We start from the raw sequence: 21415 nt of genomic DNA, 5'->3' as shown, positions 1-21415 counted from the left end.
TTGTGGAGTCACTTTCAGTAAGAAAATTAAAATGCACATGTGTTTTTCTCTTCTTAATCATCACATGAACTACCAAATTGTTCTATTAACACTACATTATGTTTTGAGGATTTGGGAGCCTACCTTTTCAGGAGTCTGCCATATCCTATCAGGGCATAGTCTGTGCTTTCTTGATAAAGCTCATGAACACTCCTAATTTACAGGTTTGTATGTGAGGGTTTTTAGATTTTATTTTATTTTATTTATTTATTTTGAGACAGAGTCTCGCTGCGTCTCCCAGGCTGGAGTGCAATGGCGTGATCTCGGCTCACTGCAACCTCGGCCCCCAAGGCTCAAGCGATTCTCCTGCCTCAGCCTCCTGAGTAGCTCGGATTACAAGCATAAGCCACCATCCCTGGCTAATTTTTGTATTTTTAGTAGAGACGGGTTTTTGCAGTGTTGTCCAGGCTGGCCTCAAACTCCTGACCTCAAGTGACTCGCCAGCCTCAGCCTACCAAAGTGCTGGGATTACAATTATGAGCCACCATGCCCAGATTTTTAGATTTTAAAGATACAGTGGCCTGAGTCCATAATGCAAATGCATTTGGGCACTTTCAAAAACGTTTATATTAATTATGGCAAAATAACTGATTTTTTCCTCCATTTATTTTCTATATATTAATAATACAATATACTGCCATATTGATCATGTTTTATAAGTCAAAAGTGGCAGAAGTAGAGCACTTTTTAACATAAGAATAGGTTGATCATTTTGTTGATTTCTTCAGTGAAACAGAAAGTAGTACAGCTGCCCAATATTTCATATTTAATCCTAATGTGTAATGATAAGGTAATGTTATGTGAAAATATTAATTATTATTACACAAGCATAGTTAAATGTCCTTAAATAATAGGGTGAGATAAGTTATGATGTATTTATTTTAGATATAATTATCCAACTTATTATAAAGTCTATAGCCTTGCCTGCTTTAATTCTGTTTTTCTCTTGGCATCTATTATATGACACTCTACTAATTTTACACTTGTTCATTGGCAATTACTGTTAAGTTTATATTGCTGATTTTTCCTAAACTACCTTAAAGTTGGAGGGCACCAGTGCTTGAACTTTGGATTTCTTTCTTTTTTTTTTTTTTTTGAGGTGGAGTTTTGCTCTTGTTGCCCAGGCTGGAGGGCAATGGCACGATCTTGGCTCACCGCAACCTTCGCCTCCCAGGTTCAAGAGATTCTCCTGCCTCAGCCACCCTAGTAGCTGGGATTACAGGCATGTGCCACCAAGCCCGGCTAATTTTGTATTTTTAGTAGAGACGGGGTTGCTCCATGTTGGTCAGGCTGGTCTCGGACTCCCGACCTCAGGTGATCCAACCACCTCGGCCTCCCAAAGTGCTGGGATTACAGGCACGAACGAGCCACCGCTCCCGGCCTGGATTTCTTTTTATCTCTAGCTACACTTACTCCTTTGAGGATCTTGCCTAATCTTATGACTTTACATACCGTCTATATGATGACAACACCCACATCCACATTGCCTGAACTATATCCATATATTTCTAGCTGCCGCCCCAACATATTCTTGTATTTGTCTAATGGACCTCTTAAATTAGCATATCCAGAACTAAATTCTTGATTTGTACCAAATAAACCTGCTTTTCCCATAGGCTTCTCCACCTCAATTAATAACAATTCTATCATGTTTGTCTCTTAGGCTAGAATTCTTTTTTTTTTTTTTCTTTTTTTTGAGACGGAGTCTCACTCTGTCACCCAGGCTGGAGTGCAGTAGCACAGTCTCGGCTCACTGCAACCTCTGCTTTCCAGGTAAAAGCAGTTTTCCTGCCTTAGCCTCCCCAGTAGCTGGGATTATAGGTGCCTGCCACCACGCCCAGCTAATTTTTGTATTTTTAGTAGAGATGGGGTTTCACCATGCTGGCCAGGCTGGTCTTGAACTCCTGAACTCAAGTGATCTGCCTACTTTGGTCCCCCAAAGTGCTGAGATTACAGGCATGAGCCACTGCACTCAGTCAAAAATTATTGAAATCATTAATTTTTCTCTTTCTTTCATAACATATGTCCAAAATATCAACAATCTCTGTTGATTTTAATGCATTCAGAATCCAATGCTTCAACCACTTCCATTGCTATTATTTTGGGCCAAGTCACCACTGTTTCTTTGTTGAATTATTTTAATATTTGCTTATTGGTCTTACTGATTCTATTCTTGCTCTTATACTATACTCTCAATAAAGCAGCCAGGGTAACCCTTGTCATACTTTTTATGTAATTTCATGTCCTTATGTGTATAAAAACCTGTGAGCAATCTGGCCACCCATTACATTTTAACCTTGTTTCAGCCATACTGGCTTCCTTCCTACTCTGCAAATGCACTAATAACACTCCTGCCTCAATACTTTTATACCAGCTTTTCTGTCTGTCTAGAATGCTCTTTCCCAAGATTTACTCACTTCCTGCAAGGTTTTTCTTACATGCCGTCTTCTTGCTGAGACCTTCCCTGACTCTCCATTTAAAATGTTTACTCTTCCCCAAACACATTTTTCCCCTTCCTTGTTATATTATTTCCATAACACCTTTTACTTTCTAACTTCCAAGTTAGAAAAGAGAAAAGGAGAGAAGAGAAAAGAAGAAAGGAAAAATATTTCTTCCTGTAGAGTGGCAGCATGAGGCAATTGGAGTTATTGAAAATGCACGATATGTCTTTTTGTGAAGTCTAAATTATAGTTACCAAGTCAAGTTACTGTCAGAAATAGATCACCTGGAGAGAAATAAGTGGTTTTGTTTTCTTTCTGCCTAAATATATGTGATTTATCAAAATATATTGTACATTTACTACTCTTTTTTCTCAACCATTTCCAAATATTGAAGAATTGATATATGTTGGATGCCAGGATCTACAAGACAGTGCTTCCCAAACTGAACTGATGCTAAGATAAAAGGAAAACTACTAATAAAGGAGAAAAAACATAAAAAAAATTAATATCCTGTAAAGGAAAAAGTAACTGATAATAGATAAATAAAAGTAGCAACCTAAATTTGGCTATTACCACTTTAAAAAGGCAAGTTAGCCGGGCGCAGTGGCTCACGCCTGTAATCCCAGCACTTTGGGAGGCCGAGGTGGGCAGATCACCTGAGGTCGGGAGTTCAAGACCAGCCTGACCAACATGGAGAAACCCCGTCTCTACTAAAAATACAAAATTAGCCGAGCATGGTGGCACATGCCTGTAATCCCAGCTACTTGGGAGGCTGAAACAGGAGAATCGCTTGACCCGGAAGGCAGAGGTTGCAGTAAGCCGAGATCATGCCATTGCCCTCCAGCCTGGACAATGAGAGTGAAACTCCGTCTCAAAAAAAAAAAAAAAAAAAAAAAAAAAGGCAAGTTAAATGAAAAACCTAGAAATAAAACACATCTGTTACTCCTATAACCAAAAACATTTAGTATATTATGTTCATTTAATAAATGGTGAGAAGATAATATTCCTCTGTTTAGAAGTAGACAAAGTTCTAACTACCTATTTTTTATCCTTAATTCTTTTCTTTTATGATCAACATGTATCACAAGAGCTTGCTGTGAAAGTTCTCCAGTGAGAAATTACTCAAAATATGGAAAGAAGCTTATTTGAAATCAACATAATAAAGTACAATCATCAGAAGTTTTTTTTTAAATTGGAGAGCATGGGGCCTGGAGTCAGTAGTGTCCCAGCTCAAACGTTTAGCTACCACAATTGCTTAGTAAACATACTTAGTTACTCTGAGCCTCTGTTTCTTCATCTGTTATATGAGAGTTTTAACATCTATCTCAATTCATTGTGGTGATGGTGATATAAATGCCTCTGAGATATGTTCTGGCATATATAAAATGCTCACAATAGTGTACTTATTATCAGTATTAATCTAATAAAATATCGAATGATTCCTAAAAGTTAGAGATGTAGAAATCACTTTTAGCCATGTTTCTCCCTTTAAAAGGCAAAAGTTCATAATATTTCAATTCAAATTTACATAACTTGCTTTTTATAGCTTTAAGCACAGCAATAAAAAAAGAGAACTAGTAACAGTGACATCTGGCACCTTGATTACTATGTTTCTTCCCAAATAAGTCTCAAAATACACATTCTCTACCTGATAACATATAAGGACAGGTTTTCCTGATCCAAACCTAAGGTTTGTCTAATATCTACAAGTTCGTGTCTTTATTTTTAAAAAGTGATTGCAATCTATGTCACAGAAATGAGCACTAACTTGTTGAACTCAGACACTTTGGCCAGCTTCAGTTGATGAGATGTTGAGGTAAGGCGTGGTTTTAAATGAACTCTACCATGGTGCCTCAGGCTGCTATAACAAAATACCATAGACTGGATAGCTTAAATAAGAGCCAATTATTTCTCGTAGTTCTGGAGCCTAGGAAGTCCATGATAAAAGTGCTGGCAAATTTGCCTCTTGGTGAGGGTCCTCTTCTTGGCTTGCAGATGGCAGTCTTTTTATTTTATAATCACGTGGTACAAAGAGAGAAAGAGAGCTTTAGTCTCTTCCTCTTCTTATAAGAATACTAATATCATCATGGGGACCCCACCCTCCTAACCTCATCTAAACCTAATTACTTCCCAAAGGCTCCATCTCCAAATATTATCACGTTGTGGGTAGGGCTTCAAGATATGAATGGTGGGAAGCACAAACTTTCCGTCCCTAGCATGTTGTTAAGCAGAAGACCTGAAATAAATGTATGAACTGGTGGCAATTATTGCTAATAACAATGTGGATGCTGACTTCAGATTGCAGATCCCATTCTTAGGTGGATCCTTTCTTTATATGTTTGCTCTTTATGCTTGTAGTTATCATCTCAATTTTGCTTAAAATAGCCACTGTTTTTATCTGCCTGTCAAATTATTCTTTTTTTTGAGACAGAGTTTTGCTCTTGTGGCCCAGGCTGGAGTGCCTTGGAGTGATCTCTGCTCACCACAACCTCCACCTTCTGGGTTCAAGTGATTCTCTTGCCTCAGCCTCCCCAGTAGCTGGGATTACAGGTATGCACCACCACACCTGGCTAATTTTGTATTTTTAGTAGAGACAGGGTTTCTCCATGTTGGTCAGGCTGGTCTTGAACTCCTGACCTCAGGTGATCCACCCACCTCAGCCTCCCAAAGTGCTGGGATTACAGGTGTGAGCCACCGCACCTGGCCTTGTCAAATTATTCTAAGTGCTACGGTTATTTTTTTAGCACCCTAAAGCTTCACGGTGTTTTTTTAAAGCAGATGTCAACAGTTTATGTATGGTTCTTCTTTTCGTGATAGTTTTTGTTTCGCTCACTAAACTAAGTAGCCACAATCTAACCTGGGCAAATGATCAGTAATATATTTCAAAGATGGCAGAAAGACTAAGCTCCAAGGTCTTGTTATTGGAGCAGCTCACCCTAGTGTCATGTGATGTATACTAAGCTCTATGTACAAGGCATTAAGCTGGGTATTTTTATTGACCTTGTCATTTAATACTTGTATTTGTTTTTGTTTTTGTTTTGTTCTTGACAGCGTCTCACTCCATCACCCAGGCTGAAGTGTAGTGGCGTGGCATGATGTCAACTCATTGCCACCTCTGCCTCCAGGTTCAAGAGATTCTTGTGCCTCAGCCACCCAAGGAGCTGGGATTACAGGGGTGTGCCATCACACTGGTCTAATTTTTGCGTTTTTAGTAGAGACAGGGTTTTGCCATGTTGGCCAGGCTGGTCTTGATCTTCTGGCCTCAAGTGATTGGCCTGCCTCAGCCTCCCAAAGTGATAGGATTACAGGCGTGAGCCACCTTGCCCGGCCTAATACTTGTGTTAACTTTTAAGACATGTATTTCAGCCACAGAACCTGAGATCAGCTGGGATTAAAGTATCTTGTCCTAAATCACATACACGACATAAAAAGAGAGCCACACATATCTTGTGACTTCGAGTCCAAGCAATTTCACTAAAATGAGTTTAATATCAAATAGGACTGATAGACAACACAAATGATATTTTATCTTGATAAAATCAGATCCTTTAGTCATCTGGAAGGTTGGATGATACCACTACATCATAGTATTTACATTTGGAGCTCTTATTACTTCTCTGCATAGTATTTACATTTGGAGCTCTTGTTTCCTCATCATAGTATTTACATTTGGAGCTCTTGTTTCCCCACAGAACATTCTAACCTTCTTGTCTTACTGAATATTCATTTCAGCCATGCATTATTACATAATATACTATCTAAGTAATAATGCAACAATAAATTGGTAATAATAAGACTTTGAATCCTTGGTTATCTTGAATTTCACCTATCCTTCATTATAACTCAAAGAAAGGCCACTTGAGCTAAGTCTTAAAAGATAAGAAATGTTGGTGTTCTAGTGCAGATTAAAGTTATATACAATTTATTTGAAGGCCATGTCCTTTCAACTTCATTTTCACCCACAGGGACTCTATTTATTTGTTTTGTGCTATGTGAAAATCAGCCCCTTTTATTCCCCAGATGTTAGTGGGGACACTACAAACAGTTCTTGTGCAGTCTGAGTATTTCCTCATTAAGGAATGAATAGGTAGAATATGAAAAATGTAGCCAAGGAATTAAGTGGGGAAAAGAGCAGCGAGGAGAGAGCTTTGGTATAGAACAAAGAACTATGTTTAAAGATCAAATACCCTGGTTCAAAACCTAGGTCCAGCATTTATTAGTAGTATGATCTTGGGCCTCTTCAAACTTTATTGTCCTTATGTTCAAAATAGATACCTTAATAGCACTTAGAGCCCCAAACAATTTTACAATGCTCAAGTTCATGTAGTTTATGTGAAAATGTGTGTAAAATATAATAGGTGCTCAAAAATTATTAGTTTCTTTTTTCATGCATGTATACTTATTTTCCTATTTAGAGTGTAAATTCCTTCAGACCAAGGTCTCTATTTTAACATTCTTTATTAAACAAGGTTTAACCTGGTATTTCTCACATAATAGTGACACAGTAAGTAAAATGACATAAAATTTAAAAAGAGAAGAACAGATGGGTAGAGAGGCAAGAAGGGCTGATATAGTAGGATATCTTTTGTAGATGGCTCTGAAATTTGCTTAGTTGAATATAGAATAGTTGCAATTGCAAAGTTTTCAATCAGTAAGATTTTTTTCCCCAACTGTTACCGGGGGTCCTTGCTCCCAGAGCTCCCACGATGGTGGTAGGCCACTTCCAAAATGGTGGCAAGCCTCGTGTTCTCTGACCTGCAGTTCTTGGCCTCACGGATTCCAAGGAATGGAATTTTGGGCCATGTGGTGAGTGTTATAGTCTATTAGAAGCTGTGGGTCATGGAAGAGAACTGTGGAACCCAGTGACTAGTGTTCAGCTAGATTAGGACGAACCCAGGCACTTAGCCATGCAGGAACAATGGCAAGCCTTTAGCCCAATTGGGAGTGGCAATGGGTGCCTGGCTGGATGAGGAGCACAGTGGACACCCTGCAGGATCCGCAGGGATGGAAGTCAGCGGCGGGTCTGCAATGGCGTCAAGCAGCAGTGGTGGATGGCGAGCAAAAGCTCACCTCGAGCGGTAACAAACATGGACCAGAAGAGTGCAGTTGCAAGATTTAACAGAGTGAAGTAGAGTGAAAACAGAGCTCCCATACAAAGGGAGGGGACCCAAAGAGGGTATCTGTTGCCTGCTCGAATGCCTGTGTTTATATCCCAATCATTGTCCCTCCCGATGTGCTCTCAGGCAATAAATGATTGGCCATTTCTTTACCTCCTGTTTTTGCCTAATTAGCATTTTAGTGCTATCCGGTTGGTCGGGTATGAGCTAAGTTGCAAGCCCCCTGTTTAAAGGTGGAAGCGGTCACCTTCCCAGCTAGGCTTAGGGATTCTTAGTCGGCCTAGGAAATCCAGCTAGTCCTTTCTCTCACAACCTGCTCAATAATGGGTCCAGTTCCAAAGACCAGACATAAAAAACAAAACAAAACAAAACAAAATACATTTTCATTTTCAATTTATTTAAAATAGGAAAATGGGAATCTGTGCTATTTATTGAAAGATAGGGATTCCCATGCTACATCATAAGTCACACATACACACACATACACCATACGCTTCAAACTGTGTTGGTAAATTCACTCCTCACAAAAATATTTGAAACACAAGATGTATAAAGAAACTCACAAATTAGCTAAGGTGAAATAATCGCTTTCATTTTCTTCTGTTTTTCTAAAAGGGCTGACACAAGCTGAGATGAGGAAATATGACCTCCTACACGTGTTTTCCATGAGGAATATGTTTGCTGTGCAGTCACTGAGTTAAAAGCAACCTTCATTCCCTTGTGCACCAAGGTAATTTGGAAAACAAGCCAGAGAAGTCAGGACTGCTATTTCTCAGTCTGATTTAACCATTGACAGACTATTTTTACATCCACTATGGAGATGTTCAGGTGAGATAAACACCGCAGAGAATACTGAGGAAACACTTACTTTCACATGAGTAATACATTATGATAACTCACATCTTCTAATAATATAATCTTGTTTTGAATTCAAACAACTTTCATACTATTTGGTGTAGTGCCTGAATCTAATCCTGTTTCTACCATCTAGCTTTCTCATACAGAATACCTAATGAAATTTGCCCTTCACTGTTACTTGAATTCAATTAAGGTGATGCTATCTCTGTTCTGTGTTCTGATAAACTCACTGAGGTATCACTTTCTCTGATAAATACCCAGGTATCTTAATGAGGTCAATGTCACTACTTGTTTAATTAACTTTTATTTTCTGTAATTCACATACTGGTGGTTTCCACTGGGATGTCTTATTAAAAGAAAGTGCTGTTATTAAATATAGAGTAAAAATCATTCCTGTATAACTCCATAGTTGAGAGTATTGAAGCTCTTATACAATTCTTTCAATGAAATGTTTTGTGAAATTATAAGCTAATGCTCACTATTTCAAAGACACTAAGTAAAGTTGTGTCTATGTTTTGAAAAAGAAATTATTAACCATGTTTTACCTTAACTCTTTGCTAGAAGCTCTCTGGATATTCTGATCAAAAGCCTAGGTGGGATGTAATTTATTAACCATAACAGCTTGTTAAGCCTTGGATTACTCAAAATTGTTCCTAAAATTGTTGAGCAATTTAATGTATTGGATAGAGACCTTTAGCTTTAAAAATGATACTACTGAATATGAAAATATAGAATCTATTGCTAATCCACGAAGAGAGGCAAATGTCCTCTGGGTGTGTATGGCAGATGCTCCTGACAGCAATAACTTAACCATACCCCGAGAATGACCCTACCTTCTAAGAAGAATGTGTGTTTGGAGTTCTAAGCAAGAAACCTGGGGGTAGCCAACTGGAGATTCATTCCTTATGTATGAAGGATATCTGATCCATTGGCCTATCCCTTGGAATGCAGACCATACAGGGGATTGAAGCCCTTTGTTTGGGGTTAAATGGGGGTTGCTACGTGGAGTGTGCAAAGTGAAAATTGCTATATAGACCACATGCTTTTACAAGTGGTAGCATCTGTCCTGTCCAGCCCACTACCACTGGACCATCCCATACGTAAGTCTTCAATAAACTTGATGTCTCTTTTGCAGGCTCTGGGTCTCTTTCTTGGCCTCTCAGACACAGTGCCATTCCTAGTGGAGCCAGTAGGGGTCCAACATGACAGGGTCTTTAAATACTTCTTTAAAATCTAGCATTTATCCCTTTGATTATGTATTTCTACATAAAACCTTTAAAATCATTTTAAATCCAAAAGAAGAAACAAATATTTTCTTTTAAAATGATGTTAATAATCCCTTGAGCAGATACTTTTCCTTATGAACATGCAGATAGATGTTTACATGGCTATTTGTCAGTGCCTGAAATTTAAACATATTTTATCTAATGGGGAAAATCAGTCACACTAAGGAAATTTAAAAGTGAAGGTAAGCTTTTATGGTAAGAGTCACATCAAGATTTCGTGCAACTTTTGCAGGCACATATTTTCACTGAACTAAAGTTCATGCAGTGAGACACATCTGAAGATAATTTTTTTTAAAAAAAGATATTTCTTCTCTCCACTTTTTTCCCCAAAGTGTTTACTACTTTAAATATTTTTAATATCATTCTACTCAAGCCACTTGGTTAATGGCGGTAACTATCTGGAATTGTATGCTAATGATTTACTGGTTTATGGCGATGGCAAAAAACAAACAAAAACTGCTATATCATTAATTGCTTCTTAACACCAAAGCCTGTTGGAGCAATATTCCTTAAGCATCATTTTTATTGCTGAAAAAGAATATCAATATTCTATGTATGAATGTATGTGCTACAGTATAACCTGTACTTTTAAATCTCATCTTTAATGTGTTGAAGCTAAGCTTTAACTCTGGATTAGCAGATATTTGATGTCTCAATAATTGAAAAATTTTTATGCCTACTAGCCAAAAATTATTTTTTCCTTAGACATTGAGATAAGAAACAGACCAACTCCAGAGAATTGAAATTATTAAGTCATTTAGATTCATCCAACTTCCACCCAAGCAGCAGCCATTCTAGACTAACAACTTCCTCCCTCCTCCACAGCCCGCTCCTACCTCCTCCCAGTAACTCCAAACTAAAAACAGATTTTAAAAATATAAACCAATACTTTGGGAGGAGAGTCTTTTCTCATATAATATAAATCTTCTAGAAATGTTGGAAAGGGTAGTTCATGAGAAGGAGAATTGTTTTTCCTGGGCTTATAGATTTTAACGTTAAAACGAAAGCAGAGCAATTACATTCTTCATAAAATTACAATTTAGTGACTTCTGACCTTTTCCTCATCCGGTCCCCAAGTATTCCTCATTCCAATAGTAATAGCATTAGGGGGAAAAAAAGGCCCACATTTACAAGAATTTAGCTTCTGGCAAGCATCATTTTAAAGAATTTACTTCCTGGCTCATGGTTTACATGACCTGTCTTTGGTTGCTTATTTCTTTCCTTCCACCCTTCCCCCCTCCTCTTCAAAGCAAGCTGCATTTTAACTATTGCATTCACTGCTGCTTCCTGCCTTTTTTGCTTTCTATTTTCATATCCATGGGAATGGAATCTGCTCTGAATTATCTGGTCAATATCTCCTCATTCCCCATCTCCACCCACCACCGCTGTTACTGCTACACCAGCCACTTTTGACTTAGAGAAAAGCTAGCATAATTAATTCAGAAATAAAAATGCATTATAAAATATTAGCTGATGCTATAAAGACACATGCCCACGTATGTTTATTGCGGCACTATTCACAATAGCAGAGACTTGGAACCAACCCAAATGTCCAACAATGATAGACTGGATTAAGAAAATGTGGCACATATACACCATGGAATACTATGCAGCCATAAAAAATGATGAGTTCATGTCCTTTGTAGGGACATGGATGAAATTGGAAATCATCATTCTCAGTAAACTATCGCAAGAACAAAAAACCAAACACCGCATATTGTCACTCATAGGTGGGAATTGAACAATGAGAACACATGGACACAGGAAGGGGAACATCACACTCTGGGGACTGTTGTTGGGGGCAGAGGGGGGAGGGATAGCATTAGGAGATATACCTAATGCTAAATGACGAGTTAATGGGTGCAGCACACCAGCATGGCACATGTATACATACGTAACTAACCTGCACATTGTGCACATGTACCCTAAAACTTAAAGTATAATAAAAAAAATGACAGGCTTCAAATATTCTCTGGAATATGTCATCTGTAAACTAAATATTGGACTTGATAAAAAAATAAAATAAATAAAATATTAGCTGATTAAATCCCTTCAGTATTCCTTCTTTTTAGAAGCTGTTAGTGCCAAAGAAAAACTTTAATTATGTTGATATCTAATTTTGGGGGGGATGGGGGGGGCAAGTACATAAAATATATGGTCCTACTCTTAAAAAATTATTTTATCTTATTTCTATTGCTAATTCATACTTCTTGTACTCCATTATTTTAATAACAACAACAAAAAAACTCACTCAAAAGTTACATGTATGAGGAATCAAATTTCCATTATTTGTTTTACCAGGAAATGAAAGAATGAACTTTTTGGCAAAAATTGAGGAAAAAAATTTGTTAGCAGAGGTAAATCTCAGTTTATACTATGCATGTTTGAAACTTGAAGAACAACACACAAGAGAATTACACTGGAGAATGTGGAGAAACTTTTTAGTTGTTTTACTTTTAGGTAAATTGGATTCCTAATTTCTCTAGTTTAAGAAAATTTTCAATTAAATGTAAAATTACTACCTTTAAGAACATTCATTCAAAAGAAAAAGAGTAACAAAAATTAGCCTGGAAATCATGTTTTATGTTATCTATATCAATTTTTTTTCAAATTAGAGTTTTAAAAAACACCTGTTTTCAATATGGTAAGTCAAATCATGCTCCCAGTTATTAGACAATTATGCTCCCAGACTCTGTGGCTCAAAAGTAAAAGCAGACACCAGAGCCCATGGCAGGGTGAGGGAGCAGTCACTGTGTCCTTAGAAAGTGTTGCAAAACCTGTTTTTCTACAACTAACTAAAATAACAGTTCCTGGAAACAACTGCAGCTGAGAATTCCCTAACTGACTATAAAAGAACCACATGGCACAAGCCAACCAACCACCAGCCACCTGGAACCAGCCAATTAAGAGAAAGTGGTGATTTGGGGCTTAAACGCCATCCAATTAAGACTCTGTTCTACACTCCCCTGACTCCCCCTGCAGCTTTTGCCTTTATAATCTCTAACTTTCCAACCCCCAACCCCAGAGTGCATCATTGGTTTGCACCAAAGTCTGTGTCTCCCCAGTCTGCAGATTGTTTTAAAAAAGTAAAGTTCTCCTTTTTCCTCCAAAGATCTCATGGTCTTTTTTGTTAACAGGTATAATAGAGCACAATTGTTGTCACTTATTTAATGTATAAAAAGAAAGTAATGCTTTCCTTATTTTAGTTTTGTTAATATGATCAGTCTCCACTCTTGGTCTCTGCCCTTTATGGTCTATTTTCTTGTTTCTATTTCTGCTATCCGTGGTTGATTATCTTCACAATTTTCCATTCAAATTCCAAAGAAATAATTCCAAATTCATATGTGAATAACCCAACATATTACCATTTTTCCTCTTACTCATGATTTTCTGTGCAAGACGCTACCAGATTTGCTGACTTAGATACCACTGTCTGGTAAAATTGGTTGTCACTTTTTCCAAGGGATATCCAAGGGATATCCAAGGGATATCTCCTTCTTCAGTAGGTTTTTCAGCAGTGTAGTTTCCCTTAAAAGACTTGGTTGGACATAGCAATTTCTGAAGAGGACAGATTTTGAACAGTGGAGAATCCGTGGTGGGGGCTGCAAATAGTTTTTTGAGCTGAAGCAAAGGTGTCCTGAGAAGAAAAATGTTGGAGATGAGACTAGAGAAGCCTCATGAAAGGCCTCACATGTGATGATGTGCAATTGGAAATTCAACCTAAACTCTAAGGGAAAGCTGCTCTCATTACCCCACATTTGCATTTAAAAACAGACATTCATATAAGTTAAATGTATTCCTTCAATTTCATGTATGGAATAAATAAGTTTCAGAGCCAGGAAAAAGGGCTCAATTGTCTTTCTACTACATCAAAATTTTGTCATCTCAGCCTAAATTCTGCAGAATCTACCAAGGTAAGGTGCTCAATATCAATAGTTATTTTCTATGCTTAACTTAAATGGAAGTGTCTTACGTCATTGTTTCTTTTTAGTGAATGATTTAAGATCTTAAAAATTGTCTCATATACTGTGTTCTTAATCTTGCATTTTATTCATTCATTCATTTTTTGCTTATTTTTTCGTTTTTTTCTTGACATTTTCTGACTTGATTTAGATGAATGTCTTTTGTTCCTTGATGAATTTAAAGTTCTACATCTATTTCTATTCTGAGTGTTTACTCAAATAATTAATAATTTTATTTTCCTATTGATGTCTAAAATTAATAATACTCCATAACCCAAAAATTAAGCAAGGTTTATAATGAATCCTCTCTAACCGTGTTATACTAAAACCATCTGAAAATTTACTTACAGGAAATTTTTTTTAAATGCTTTTAAAAATTTTAATATTTTCTTTTCAGACAACTTTATAGCCTCATTATTGCTAAAGTTTCATACAGTGTAGATTTTTAACACTATATACCAATCCATTTGTAATAATAATACATCACTTATCTATCCTACATGTAACTATTGCAAACAATATAGCAACTGAAATATAATTCCTACATCATAAGGTATATGTTTTAGTTTCAATTGATATGACATATTTATTTACGCAATTAGTTATAGAAATGCAATATATGAGATTTTTCAAATGCTTGCCATCTTTTAAAAATTTATTTTTATTTTTCTGATTGGTAGGAAATCCTTTTATAAAATGATAACCATTCAAATTTTTGTCTTCTGTGAATTGCCTAATCATATCCTTTTAATATTTTCTGTTAGATTGTTGCCTTTTTCATGTTGACCTAGAAAATTTCTTTATATATTTGTGCTCTAATACATTCTGTCTATGGTCTAATCCTGTTTATAGTGTCATTTGTCAAAGTGAAGTTTTAATATTAACATGGTCATACTAGAGTACATTAATAGTAATAGAATTCTAATAATGTTAGCCTATTTGCTTTATTTTTGTTTCTTTTCATGTGCTAAAACCATAGATGTCTAGAAGATGACGACACACACATATACACACACACATATATACCCACATACACATTCTTTTACAAATTCTTATTTTTAAATTCATCTTGGATTTACATTTTTTAAATTTACATTTTATTACTTTTCTGTTAATATATTGTAATTTTAGAAATTAAGAACTTGTTTTTAACTATTCCTGGAAATTTTTCAACTATTACTTTTCCAAATATTGCTTTGTCTTTATTTTCCCTATTGTCCATTCTCAAATTCCTATTAAAAATATGTTGACCAGGCTGGGCGCTGTGGCTCATGCCTATAATCCCAGCACTTTGGGAGGCCGAGGTGGGCGGATCACGAGGTCAGGAGATCGAGACCATCCTGGCTAACACGGTGAAACCTCGTCTCTAGTAAAAATACAAAAAATTAGCCAGGCATGGTGGCGGGCACCTGTAGTCCCAGCTACTTGGGAGGCTGAGGCAGGAGAATGGCATGAACCTGGGAGGCAGAGGTTGCAGTGAGCCGAGATTGTGCCACTGCACCCCAGCCTGGGCAACAGAGCGAGACTCCGTCTCAAAACACAAACAAACAATAAAAATATGTTGACCAGGTGTGGTGGCTCACACCTATAATCCCAGCACTTTGGGAGGCCAAGTTGAGTAGATTGCTTGAGTCCAGGAGTTCAAGATCCACCTGGGCAATATAGGGAGACTGCCATCTCTACAAAAACTTAAAAAAAAAAAAATTAGCCAGGCATAGTGGCCTGAGCCTGCAGTCCCAGTTGTTTGGAGGCTAAGTTGGGAGGATCATTTGCACATGGGCCCTGGAGGTCGAGGCTCCAGTGAGCTGATTGCACCACTGCACTCCAGCCTGGGCAACAAAGCGAGACTCTGTCTCAAAAAAAAGAAAAAAAAATAGTTGACCTTCCACTTTACCCTTTATATCTCTTAACCTCTGTTTCATGTTTCTCATCTCTTTATGTCATTTTGCAGCTTCTAGAGAGTTTCTTCAGCTCTATATTCTAGTTCATCAGTATTCTTTTCCCATATTCAGTTATTTGGCCTGTCTACAGAGTATATGTTTTTCATTTCTATGTATTCAATTCTAAAAAATTGTTTGTTTTCCTTTTCATATCTGCTTATTTTTATTCAGTGTTTTTCAGTGTTGTTTAACTTCATTTTTGCAACACTTAACAATTATATTCAGAAATTGCAAAAGTATATTTTATATTGTTCTACTATCTCAGACTCTTGGAGAGCTAATCTTACTCTCCTCTGTTGACTTGACTTCATGGTACATTGCTTCTCCTGTGGTTCAAAAGTATTTACAGAGATACCATTTCAAAGAATTTCCCTTTCCTCCTGACAATCCTCACTGCTCTGGATTGTGGAAGTGTTCCTATATAGGCATTTTGCTTTGCTTTTCCTACTAAGTAGTTCTCAGGGTGACTTTCCCTAGATAAATTTATTTAATGTAATTCCCACATTTATTCCTTCCTCCAGCCTTTACCTTCTCCAATCCATGACAGAAACTAATTGAAGTTTTCTCTTCCTAAAGAAGGCCTATTAGCATGACAAACATCCTAAATCTACCTGTATTATTTTTTTTCTAATCCAATTTGGAACACCAAGCTTGCTAGGAGGATGGATATATAGTTCAATACACCTACAAAAAAAGGTTTTTAAATAGAGAGAATATTGCATTTCTTCTTAATTATGAAAACAATCATTAAGAAAGCAATACACTAAATAATCATAATGGGATGGAGTATTATTTATAGCTGTAACAGTTGAGATTCTATATTAAAATAATGATTCTCAATTACTGCCTCTTTAAAGAGAACATTTAGATTTTAAGGACTCTCTGGCAGACTATTTGGAAGTAACTCATTGATGGTGCTACCTTCGGACCCTGTTTCTAAATCTTTAGGCAGAGATATAATCTTAACTTTTTCTTTTCTATTCTAAAAGAAATAAACAATGAAGTACCTAATCTGAAACATTTTGGTTTGTATGTAAGAAAGTGGTTGATCTATTTTAGCCATACAACTACTGTGTTTTTTGACATGGTTTTTCTCCACCCAATTTTAAATTAGATTGCATTTCTTGAGAGTAAACACATCCCTGTTTGGAGAAGGAATGAAATCTGATTGTAGTGTCAGCTGAGAAAATCAGCCATGTATGAAAAATGTTCACCAGTAATGTAGTTAATGAGAATCCATTAAGATGAAGATAGGTTTGATTTTCCTTTCTGACATAAGTTCTTTATTTTAGGTAGTGCCTCTCCAGAGCTGTAGATGTCTTCCCAGGATATTCCATCATTCTACACAGCATTTAATTCTTGGAGCTCACAGTCCAAGACTGTTATCAGTCCATTTTCACTCTATTGATCAAGACATACTCAAGACTGGGTAATTTATAAAGAAAATGAATGGACTCACAGTTTCACGTTGCTGGGGAGGCCTCACAGTCCAGGCAATCACAGTCTTACATGGCAGCAAGCAAGAGCGAATGAGAACCAAGCAAAAGGGAAACTCATTATAAAACCATCAGCTATTGTGAGACTTCTTCACTACCACAAGAATAGTATGGGGTAAACCTCCCCCATGATTCAATTATCTCCCACCAGGTTCCTCCCAGAGCACGTGGGAATTATGGGAGCTACAATTCAAGATGAGATTTGGGTAGGTACACAGCCAAACTATATCAGTGACTCATCTAGAATTTTATTCATATAGGTTTAAACAATGGTTAACATGTACAGTTATAAGATCATTCTCATTTACAAATTTAATGTTTACAACAATCCTAAAAGTCAGGTATAGCTTTTAAGCATCATTTTACAGATGAAGAATCTTTCCCAAGATTACACAGCTGGAAAGTGGTACAGTGAGGCTTTGACCCTCATGTTTTGCCTCCAGATCCCCTGCACTTAGGGGTTGTGCTGTACTGTTTACTAGGTGCAACTGGTCATTTTACTATATGAGAAAAGTGCAACTGCTCTATTGAATTGAATGATTTTGCCTCCAATTTAGATTCAGGTCTAGTCTTTGTGAAATATTTCTGATGAACAACTTACTGATATGAATAATTGTATCTCTGTTAGAGTTATTTTATTAGACTCAATATTTCCAAAAGCACTGGAAAAAATCTATTATCCAAGTAATCTCTTTATGCAGGAAAATTAGTTTGGTATTGATTCTCCCTTAACTTATGACACCAGAGCAAAACTGATTAGAAAACTTAGGAATGAATCCATGAATTCAATTAAAAAAAAGAAATGGTTAATTGTGTTAATGCACATTCCTCTTTGTAACATGCAGATGTTCTAAAGTAATTGAAGAAATAAATTTCCTCTCTCCAACCGATGAAATGTACTCCCTACTAGTTGGTCCCCCTGCTGCAACTTTTTATTTATCTGACTGTAGGCGCTGGGAACCAATCCACCAGTATAAGAAACTCCTCCAGCTAAATAGAAGGAAACATCTTTTTATAAACTGCAGACTCCAGTACTCAGTTTTATCATAAACTCTTATGATGAAAAACAACAGGCACTATGCCACATCCATGGGTTTAATTCTAATGTTTGAAGACATGCTTGTCATTATCATGTAACTCAAGCTACATAAAATATTATTCAGATTCCCTAAGGAAACATTTCAAAATGTTATATGGTTAGGTTCTCTCATTTCCCAAAAGGTAATTAGAAGAATGAGTAGTAGAAAAACGGTATGCTTGGCAAATCTTTGACTTTCACACCCCCATCACCCATTTTTTGCCTTTAAACTGATCATTTGCTGGCAGCAGATGGGTAATAGGATGAAAGTTTTCAATATGGTGTGGTGGGGATGTATGTTTCCAGACACAACATCAAAGAGTACCAAGCAGAGTTCTTAATGTGATTAACAAAGAGGCATGGAATCTGCTATCAATCTTCCTTGTTACTGTCATAGTACTTCCAGGACTGTTAAAGAAACTTTACAATAGCTGAATACATGTTACACATACAGACCAAGAAGTGCCCTGGGCAGTGTAGCAGAATTTACAGCAAGTGCATTTTTTGAATTTCTGCTTCTGAGTCACTACTGTCAGTCTGACATTTGTATCTCAGAAGTCTTCCTACCTTAATGTTGACAAGGCAAATAAAGGCTATGCCATCAATCTGTAACGATATTTGCTCCATTTGAAAATGTTATCCTGAAAAGTATATTTCACTGTGATTAACACTGTTACAAGATAAAAGTGTATTGTTATCTTTTAAATTCCTCATTCAACTTCCGTTTTTGTAATTGTAGAGAGAAACTAAAGCATATTTCTATCACAGTAATTTTATTTCATTTATGTTCACACAATGTAACCTATGAAGCTTTCAGTTTTGGTTATACATTAATCTCTGGTTTTAATAAGAACCATAGTATTAAAGGGCTGACTTTAAATGCCTGGGATTTCCTGAAGAAAGTCTTAGAATAATGTTGATGCATTTTCTACACAGTGGAAGAATTTTCTTTGTTGTTGTTGTTGTTGTTGTTTTGAGATGGAGTTTCGCTCTGTCTCCCAGGCTGGTGTGCAATGGCGCGATCTCTGCTCACTGCAATCTCCGCCTCCCGGGTTCAAGCGATTCTCCCACCTCAGCCCCCCAAGTGGCTGGGATTACAGGCACCTGCCATCATGCCTGGCTAATTTTTGTATTTTCAGCAGAGACGGGGTTCCACCACGTTGGCCAAGCTGGTCTCGAACTCCTAACCTCAGGTGATCCACCCGCCTTGGCCTCCCAAAGTGCTGGGATTATAGGTGTGAGCCACCGTGCCCAGCCTAACAGTGGAAGAATTTTCTTCAGCTTGCATTACTGCTTAACTAGGGTACTATTGAACTCATCAGGATTTTTAGTTTCAATCTGGAAGAGAAAGAAGATAAAATTAAGAGCCTTGGTGGAGGGTCTGGCATGCATTCAGAGAGATGGAAAATGAAAAGAAATGAGTGACAAACAAGGTACATTTTGGAGTGAAACAGAGAAGCTAATGTACACCATTTCATTTAACATTAATAGTCCATATAGAGTAGGGAGATAGAATAATTTCACAATATGTATGGAAGCTCAGGCTAGAGTTAAAGAAATGTGGAAGAAGTCTGAAAGAGAAAATACTGAAATTTGGAAATCCCAAATAGAATTTTGGCTCAATAAGGGAAAAATAGAAAGTTTATTTAGCAGTAAGGCAGGTCAAAATGAAATTTGATAGATTGTGTTTGTAATGTAACCAATCAATTTTTTTTTTGTATAGCTTTCTCCTGCAATAGTCAGAAGATGAGGGAAAAAATTGAGAGATTAAGTGGGAAGTTAGGACAGACAATCAAGACCATGGAAATTCTGATCAATCAGAAGAGTGGAAGATCAAATCTCTGGCTTGAAGGTTGAGGACAAAATCCAGCTTATGAGAGAATAAGATAACTCAGATTAGTAAGTTAAGATCAGAGAGGAAATTTCAGAAATGATGATCTTGGAAGAGAGATATTGGAATAATGATGGCAATGAATGTGTGGCCTGTTTATATTACACCATAAACATTGTATCATTGTCAAAATTCATCGACATTTAGAAATTACAGAGTTGGGGGTCTAGTTATGAAGCCACCATATTTAAATAAGGTTTGATGTTTATTTTTAAAGGTTATACTTATTTACAAAGTTCTAGCCCTAGTTATCAAGTATATCCTTGAATATTAATTTTACTCAAAGGTTATTTGAAGGGCACAAAATTATTTTTATGCATCTTTATTTCATTCAAGGAGTAAAACCAGCTCAAACTATTCCCTAGCAGAGGACAGTGTTTTCCCAAATTAGGAGATATTATATGTATGTATATAACATACATATAAAAATGTATAACATTTTTTCTTACCTGAGAAAAGAGAGAGTCAGGCATTTTTTTATATTTTCAGAAATAATAAAGTTACCCTTCCCTTTAATTACATCTTTTTTCAGTCTCATCCTTCTCCAAAAGTACTGGCTGGTGTATTTGCTTTTTATATTCATTAGTGACCATTTGGTAAGTAGTTCACCTTCTCTTAGCTTTTTTTTTTGCTTTTTGCTTTTATACTTTAATCCTGCTGACATCTTTCAATGCATAATGAAAAACAGCTCTGCCTTTTCCTGGCTTCCTTATTTCTGAGTACTATGGCAACGGATGCTAGTTGACTTAGTAAAACTTGAAAATGTCACATTGCTCTTCATTCTTTGATGAATGCACATTCATGAATATAGCTGCATGCAAAAGCAATTAAGGCAGCCTTAAAAAGCACCATAACCAAAGTCACCCTCAGATGATATTCCCCAGGTGGTGTATTCAGAGCAACCCTTTCCTAGTATTAAAAATACACATATTGTTTGTCTCTGAGAATGATTAGCAATCACTTTTAGTAACACTTCTTATGAAACAAAATGATTTCTGTAAATAAATCTTAATTCCAAATCACTGAATTCACTCAGAATATATTTTTCCTCCAAAACTAGGGAAACATATCAAAAACATAAAATAAGAAGAAACAAATGGACAAATTATTTAACACAAATATAAATTACAACTTAAACCTTTGTTGACTCATATAAAACAAACATGAATATATGCACACATGGATACACATATGCACGCAACTTTAACTTACCAGATTTTAACAAGAAATTTCAATGCGAAAACATATTTAAGAATGTTTGTGGTGTAATGGAAAACATTTACTCATAAAATGACATTGATTCTATG

General features: G+C 36.6%; 1 long non-coding RNA gene across 1 annotated transcript in view; it reads right to left on the bottom strand.

Moving 5' to 3' along the window:
- Positions 1-17371: 17371 nt before the first annotated feature.
- LINC02172 (long intergenic non-protein coding RNA 2172) overlaps positions 17372-21415 on the bottom strand; it is a 57700-nt gene continuing 53656 nt past the window's right edge. Inside the window, exon 2 of the long non-coding RNA NR_146553.1 lies at positions 17372-19555. This is a non-coding gene — a long non-coding RNA (long intergenic non-protein coding RNA 2172). The remainder of the gene's footprint in view (positions 19556-21415) is intronic.

Source organism: Homo sapiens, chromosome 4, assembly GCF_000001405.40.
Source record: "Homo sapiens chromosome 4, GRCh38.p14 Primary Assembly".
Lineage (NCBI taxonomy): Eukaryota > Metazoa > Chordata > Mammalia > Primates > Hominidae > Homo > Homo sapiens.
This window is presented reverse-complemented; position numbering and strand designations above follow the sequence as displayed.